This window comes from Homo sapiens, chromosome 10 (genome assembly GCF_000001405.40).
Source record: "Homo sapiens chromosome 10, GRCh38.p14 Primary Assembly".
Taxonomy (NCBI): domain Eukaryota; kingdom Metazoa; phylum Chordata; class Mammalia; order Primates; family Hominidae; genus Homo; species Homo sapiens.
In genome coordinates this window covers 106,277,539-106,285,467 of record NC_000010.11, presented here as the reverse complement: position 1 = coordinate 106,285,467, position 7,929 = coordinate 106,277,539, and the positions used below count along the sequence as shown (strand labels likewise).

Sequence of the window (7,929 nt, the reverse complement as noted above, 5' to 3'; positions counted from 1 at the left end):
GCATTCTTTCTCACTGCTATTGTGACATCCCTGTCCCTGTTACTAACTGGATATTACACTCAGGCTCTAAGCCCCATTGCTGCTTGTTTTCTCTAGGACTTCCTACTATTACTTTTGGTTTCTCTAACATCATCACTTTTTCCATGTGTACTGCACCCTTGTGACTCAATACACAACTATGCTGCACAATTTACAATGTAAAAACTAAAAAACCCCGTCCACCTTATGCAGTCTAGTGAGGGGACTAGAATCCCACCAGCCCCTGGTTTAGAGTAAAGAGTTAAGGTGACCAAAGGCTAGCTCAGGCTTATTCACTTTTCCAGGATGGTCTCAAGTTTCCAATCCAGTACAGGAAAAGTATGCTGGCACGTTTCAAGTTTCTGCTTATACCATGGTTGGCACATGTGCATTGGCTAAAACAAGTTACAAGACCATATTCAAGGGATTGAAAAGCTAAGTCAGTCACATTGCATATGCATGGATACAGGGAAGAAAAGAATTTGTGGAAAGGTAGTAAGTCTCCATAAAGAGGAAGTGGCTGTGTGATGTGTCTAGAAAAATGAGGCCTTAGGCAGTCTTGCAGATATTTGATATTTCCAGTGGCTCTGCAAGGCACAGCAGTATCAGGAAGACACCTTTGTAGCCATAAATGACACAAAGTTAATAGAAAGATGTGGTTAATAGAATGGGGCTTTGTGGATGGGCACAAAGAGTGACTGAACAATGAAAAGCTGAACTAACAGCATGATGAGCTCTCATACCTTGATACTCAGAGTCAGCATAGGGAGAAAAAGCTGTGAAGTGCAGATAAACTGAAATAGATCAAATATTCCAATACCTTTGCAGAGAAGGGGCTTAAAATAGAAATTTAGTTGCAAAATAAAAAATTAAAGAATTTTGATTCATTGTGTCTCTCAGTTTGTGGCCTAAAATTCATTATCATTACACTTGAATTGTCTACTGTTATTTACCTAATGCTTCCCCCATACGTAAGATCATACTAGGGTGTCTAGCCAGGGAAAAGGTAGCTTTCATCTGGCAAGAACCAAAACAGTGCTTTTTTTCCTTACATTCTTCCTTATTTGGGGAGGTTCCTTTTCCAAAACTCCACTGCCTTTGGCAACATTCACACAATTTTAGAGCCCTTATCTTGGCCAGCAATTGTGCCAGTGACTACAATGAGTCCCGGATAAATTAAACCTGGTGAGAACACTATGGAGACAGCTGGCTGAGGCTTGGTTTCAGCTCTCTTAGTGCACTCTTTGTAATTATGTTCTTCCTATTTTATCTTTTTAATAATTTTATTTCTTCCTTTATTCCTTCTCTCTCTTGTTCCCCAGTTCAACTCTCAATTTTATTTTCTTCCATTTCTTTTCTTTCTTTTTTTTCTGGTTACTCTAAATTTTGAATGGCATGGGTAGTCTTTAGGGACAAAATCCATTGAGATCTAACTGAATGATCTGATTTAATACTGTTTTAAATATTTTATTCATATTACATGGCCAGGACATTTGAATATTATTAATAGCTTTCCTCATGTAGCATGTAAAGCTTATTTCACAGACATTTGCATTGCTTCCAAATTTTACCATTATATGTTGAATAATCCCATGATTAATATTTATCATTCTCTTTTAGTCTATATCGTTATTTATTCACTGGGTAAGTATGGTTACAAATCTTGCTTAATTCATAATGCTAAACTGCTCATCAGTAATGAGGATGTCTTTCTAATGAGAGTGGAGTTACTCTTTAATACTAAAAAATCTTTTAAGACTTAGAGGAATAGTAGTAATAAGTCAGGGCAGGCTGTAAAGAGAGTCCTATTGAGAGCTCTCAGTGTGGCTTGGGCACCAAAAGGACACAACTGAAATTCACAGACTAGTCTTAGAGCTGGAGAACACAACTGTAATAACAGGGTAGAAAGCAGTTCAGGAAAGAATACTCATATCCAAACAAGAAATTATTTATTTATTTATATATATAAAGCAATATAGTTATAAGTATTTATATTGTTATAAATATTATACCCTCTGAAACTAAAAGTCAAATGTGTATATATAGATATAAAATACTAAAAGTCAAATAATATATAAAATTTGACTTTTAGTTTCAGAGGGTACATGTGCAGGTTTGTTACATGAGTAAATTGCACACAAATTGTTGCATAAGATTGCTTATAATTGTTGTACAAATGATGCCGTCAACCAGGTAGTGGGCATAATACCAGATAGTTAGCTTTCCAACACTTCTCTCCCTCCCATCTTCCCCCTTGAGATGGTTTGGCTCTGTCTCCCTACCCAAATCTCATCTTGTAGCTCCCATAATTCCCACGTGTTGTGGGAGGGACCCAGTGGGAGATGATTGAATCATGGGGGTGTTCTTTCCCCTGCTGTTCTCATGATAGTGAATGGGTCTCACGAGATCTAATGGTTTTAAAAATGGGGTTTTCTCTGTACAAGCTCTCTTTTTGCCTGCTGCCATCCATGTAAGATGTGACTTGCTCTTCCTTGCCTTCCACCATGATTGGGAGGCTTCCCCAGCCATGTGGAACTGTAAGAAAAATAAAACTCTTTCTTTTGTATATTATCCAGTCTTGGTTATGTCTTTATCAGCAACATGAAAAAGGACTAATACACCCCTCTATTAGTCCCCAGTGTCTGTTGTTTTCATCTTTATGTCCATGTGTACTCACTGTTAAGATCCCATTTGTAAGTGAAAATATGTGGTATTTGGTTTTCTATTCCTGCTTTAATTTGTTTAGGATAATGGCTTCCAGCTGCATCCATGTTGCTGCAAAAGACATTATTTCATGCTTTTTGTACGGTTACATAGGATTCCATGATGTATATGCACCACATTTTCTTTATGCAGTCCAATGTTAATGGGTATCTAGGTTGATTCTGTGTCTTTGCTATTGTGAATAGTACTGTGATGCACATAGAAGTGTCTTTTGGTAGAACAATTTATTTGTGTCTTTTTGGTAGAACAATTTATTTTCCTTTAAGCATATTCTTAGTAAAGGTATTGCTGGGTCAAATGGCAATTCTGTTTTAAATTCTTTGAGAAATCTCCAAACTGCTTTCCACAGTGACTGAACTGCTTTACATTCACACCAACAGTGTGTAAGCCTTCCTTTTCTCCACAACCTCGCCTACATCTGTTGTTTTTCAGCTTTTTAGTAATAACCATTCTGACTAGTGTGAGATAGTATCTCATTGTGGTTTTGACTTGCCTTTCTCTAGTGATTAGTGATGTTGGGCATTGTTTCATATATTTGTTAGATGCATATGTGTCTTCTTTTGAGAAGTGCCTATTGCTGTCCTTTGTCCATTTTGAGGTGTTTTTTTTGGCAAACAAGCAATTTTAAAATACAGAAATTATGAAAACAATACCAGATGACAACAAACTGGGAGTAAATGCACGGTATGACAGGGAAGCTTCAGATGAAAGGTAGTCCAAATTGATTTTTCTGTGATAAATCCATTCTGGAAATTCTAGGTAATGCATCTCTCAAATATTAGCATGTTTATTATTCACCTGGGCCTGTGGGATTAGGTGGGGCTGAGGTGGGTTGGGTGTTGGAGGGTTGCTTATCCAGAAATTATGATTAGTAGAGCTGAGTTGGGATCCAGGTGATTATGATGGAGATGCTCAGTCAAAGGCACACATTTTGAGCACATTGATTTTAAAGGTAACTGACTTGAGTAATCCCCGCAGTCCCTCAACAAACATTAAACAGTTTACTTCAAATTCATTTCAAATATATGTTTGAGGGTCTTTTGACTCTCACTCTCATAGTCTGGGGATATAAAGTTTAGTAAGACACCTTACGCTTTCCCTTGTGAGGAACTTATCCCGGGGGCAGCTACCTTTCTACCTACTTTTAAAACCATAGCTGACCATATGCAGGTGCCATGTACTGAGTCTGAAAGCACAGTTTTTATTCATCAGTTTTTCTCTCCTTCTACCCTCTCTTCTCACTCTTCCTCCTTTGTACCTTCAACGAGGGCACTCATTTAATGACACTCTGTAGCCAAGAAGATAAAGCGGGATTTCTCCGAGCTGAAAGCCGTCCTCCTTCCATGGCAACAGGGTCAGACTCATCCTACACAGACAAGAAGCATTAGCATCTGATCTGCTTTATCCTGCAGCAACAGGAGCCCAAGTGCTTTATGGCGGAAAGCAGCCCTTGGTGTATCCGTGGAGACAGGGAGCTTCTCCTTGCTCAGCTTGTTCTAGGATCAGTATGTAAGCTTTGTTTCCAGCAGTGTTATTTGTGACAAATGCCTCCCCAAAGCCAGACTGCATCTGTTGACTGACGCCCAGTCCCCATCCTCCAGATTTCAATTAGCATGTACGTTTTAGCAGTCCTCTGAAAGAAACCCTTGTTGCAATACAACTAGCAATAGACTCCAAGCTGCTCACTCCAAACTTTCTTTGGAAGAACTAAATCACATATGTAATATTATGCAGATTTGGTCTTTTCCAGCACCATGGTTCTGTTATAGGCTAAAAGAAGGAACAGAAAATAGCCTTTTGTACTGATTGCCTTTGAATTGAGAGAGGGGATTGGCAAAGAAAGTTGGAGCCGGAAGTAATAAAGATTTGAGCTCCCTGTGGTTACACAGAAGCAGAGACAGCTTAGATGAAGTCCCATCTCTGCCAAATGAAATGACTGGATTTGAACTTGTCCAAGCAGAGCCCTCAGAAGATGAAGGATGCAGTACAATAGCAGCTTTCCTTCTGAAAATTGAAATGCAAAGTCGCCTAAATTTGAATAGGCAAAAGTAGTATTAGGGGTGTCCCCATGATTGACACTCACTATCACCCTTTTTCCTGCCTTAGGTCTTCAGCTCTCCCTCTCACCAGCACCATACCTGCCTCCCCTGCCTAAGTCTGAATGGAAATCTTTTAGCCAGTTCTCTTTAGAAAAGCTGAGACACTGGCATTTTTTTTTTACTTTTATTATTTTATTTTATTTTATTTTATTATTATTATTATACTTTAAGTTTTAGGGTACATGTGCACAATGTGCAGGTTAGTTACCTATGTATACATGTGCCATGCTGGTGTGCTGCACCCATTAACTCGTCAGTTAGCATTAGGTATATCTCCTCATGCTATCCCTCCCCCCTCCCCCCACCCCACAACAGTCCCCAGAGTGTGATGTTCCCCTTCCTGTGTCCATATGTTCTCATTGTTCAGTTCCCACCTATGAGTGAGAACATGCGGTGTTTGATTTTTTGTCTTTGCAATAGTTTACTGAGAATGATGATTTCCAATTTCATCCATGTCCCTACAAAGGACATGAACTCATCATTTTTTATGGCTGCATAGTATTCCATGGTGTATGTGTGCCACATTTTCTTAATCCAGTCTATCATTGTTGGACATTTGGGTTGGTTCCAAGTCTTTGCTATTGTGAATAGTGCTGCAATAAACATACGTGTGCCTGTGTCTTTATAGCAGCATGATTTATAGTCCTTTGGATATATACTCAGTAATGGGATGGCTGGGTCAAATGGTATTTCTAGTTCTAGATCCCTGAGGAATCACTACACTGACTTCCACAATGGTTGAGCTAGTTTACTGTCCCACCAACAGTGTAAAAGTGTTCCTATTTCTCCACATCCTCTCCAGCAGCTGTTGTTTCCTGACTTTTTAATGATTGCCATTCTAACTGGTGTGAGATGGTATCTCATTGTGGTTTTGATTTGCATTGCTCTGATGGCCAGTGATGGTGAGCATTTTTTCGTGTGTTTTTTGGCTGCATAAATGTCTTCTAAAGAATTTTATTAACTGCTGAGAAAAACACTAACAGAAAATACAAACAGAACTGAAACAAGTTTCTAAAGAATATCTGCTGATCCTACAATCACAGTCTCTCAGAGTCAAGAGAGACCATGGTACACACCTTTCACTTTTTCTCATTCCACTATCAAATAAAAAATGGTTGCACTAATTGTGAAATTGTGTGAAAAATCTACTTCACATATATTGACACTTTACATTTTCCACTTAACATTTCTATTAGAAATTGGTACTTTTTATAAGTTTCTAATGGATGTATTTATAATCTCTTGTGAAGCTAAGACCAGAAGTCTGAATTTGAGGAGGATCTGTGTGATAAGGCTTAACACAAATCCCCCTGCCCTCCATCACCCCATGAACATGTTAGAGTTCTGCTACCAAATGTTTGCCAAAGTCTCCGATATTGCCCCGGGGTTCCACTTTCTCAGCTTGTCAGATCTCCATGAGGGAGATTATTTCCCACCCGAGTGATGGGGTCTTGCCATGTCAGGACCCATTCAGTGTTCTCCAGTAGTAAAGAGACCAGGCTGAAATCATCCAGACCTCTAAGTTCCTGTCTTCCATGTGGAGAGACATGTGTACACAGGAGTAATATTTTTCTTCAGATGTAACTTACTTTACATCCCTGTATTAGTCCATTCTCACATTGCTATAAAGAACTACCTGAGACTCGGTAATTTATGAAGAAAAGAGGTTTAATTGATTCGCAGTTAGGCATGGCTGGAGAGGCCTCAGGAAACATACAGTCACGGTTGAAGGGTGAAGGGGAAGCAGGTACATCCTTACATGGTGGCAGAAGAGAGAGTGAAGGGGGAAGTGCTACACACTTTTAAACAACCAGATCTCCTGAAAACTCACTCAATATCACAAGAAGAGCAAGGGGAAAGTTTGCCTCCATGATCCAATCACCTCCCACCAGGTCCTCCCCCAACATTAGGAACTACAATTCAATATGAAGTTGGTGGGGACACAGAGCCAAACCATATCAATCCCACACAGAGGGAGGCTAATAGCACAAGGAAAGCTTCACCATTTAAATACTAGAGCCATAAAACAAGAACCAAGTAGTACCCAGCAGAGGGAGTCAGTCCCTTACCAGTAATACTTACTTTTAGTATTTCCCCACGCTCTGAATCAGGACTACCCATCCCCAATAACAGGCAGATTTTTCATACATTTCTCCAGGTTACAAGTGGGCTGACAGCCAGTCTCCTAATTTGCTACTTACAGAAAGCACTGTATTGCAACACTGGTTTAGAAATTTAGGTTTTTGTATATTTCTCTGAATAATCACATAGGAGCATACTAAACAATAGGATCTCTTCATAAAGTAGCTGCCTTTTCTTAACCATTCTCTCAATCTGGTATTGGACTCCAACTTCTGAGTTACCCACAACTGATAAACAGCCACAATAAAATATACGTTATTTCATGTAATATTCATTTTCAATATTGGCTGTTAATGTAACTGGGGCACAACTCTGGGGAGAAATTAGATGGAGTTGGGCAAGTTGACCAGCTCCATCTAATTTCTTCAAATTGACCTAGTGTCAGAAAGATAACAGTTGTTGGCATCTGTTGATAATCTATTTTACTCTGGGTACTATGCTAAACCCTTTACATGGGTTATATCATAGTCTTTATGGTCACCCTGGGTCAGATACTGATATTATCCTCATTTTACAAAAGTGGAAAACAGGCTTGGGACATTTAGGCAGTTTGCTCAGCTCTCAGCTTAATTAAGGTGATGACTAGGACTTGAACATAGCCTTAATCTCACCCTGGATTCTGTCCTCCTAACCAGAGGAGGTTAACTGGTTAACTGTACTCTATTCACAAAGACAAGTGGAACAATCTTGATTTTTGATCTCTAGGTTTTTGACCCCTTAATCTATTCCTGTATAATTTATGAAGTTCAAAAAAAATACAGCCAAGTTCAAGTAAGTAAAATATTCTGTATTTATTTATTAATCATCTAAGCATTTGGGTCTTAAGAATAATAATCACATCTGGAGATTTATTATAAAATATTCACAATTTGTAAATTTGGGTCTCCAATTCCTAAGCTCTGTGTGTTATTTCTGATGGATGATTACCTGATAAAGAGAGTATTAA

At 38.9% G+C, this 7,929-nt stretch overlaps 1 annotated feature.

The window, feature by feature from the left end:
• Positions 6,150-6,333: a silencer, noted in NCBI's record as "fragment chr10:108038893-108039076 (GRCh37/hg19 assembly coordinates)". NCBI's record gives its function as "represses an EF-1alpha promoter that drives an FKBP-Casp9 reporter gene in an ReSE screen in K562 erythroleukemia cells {active_cell/tissue: K562}" and the evidence as "EXISTENCE:reporter gene assay evidence [ECO:0000049][PMID:32094911]".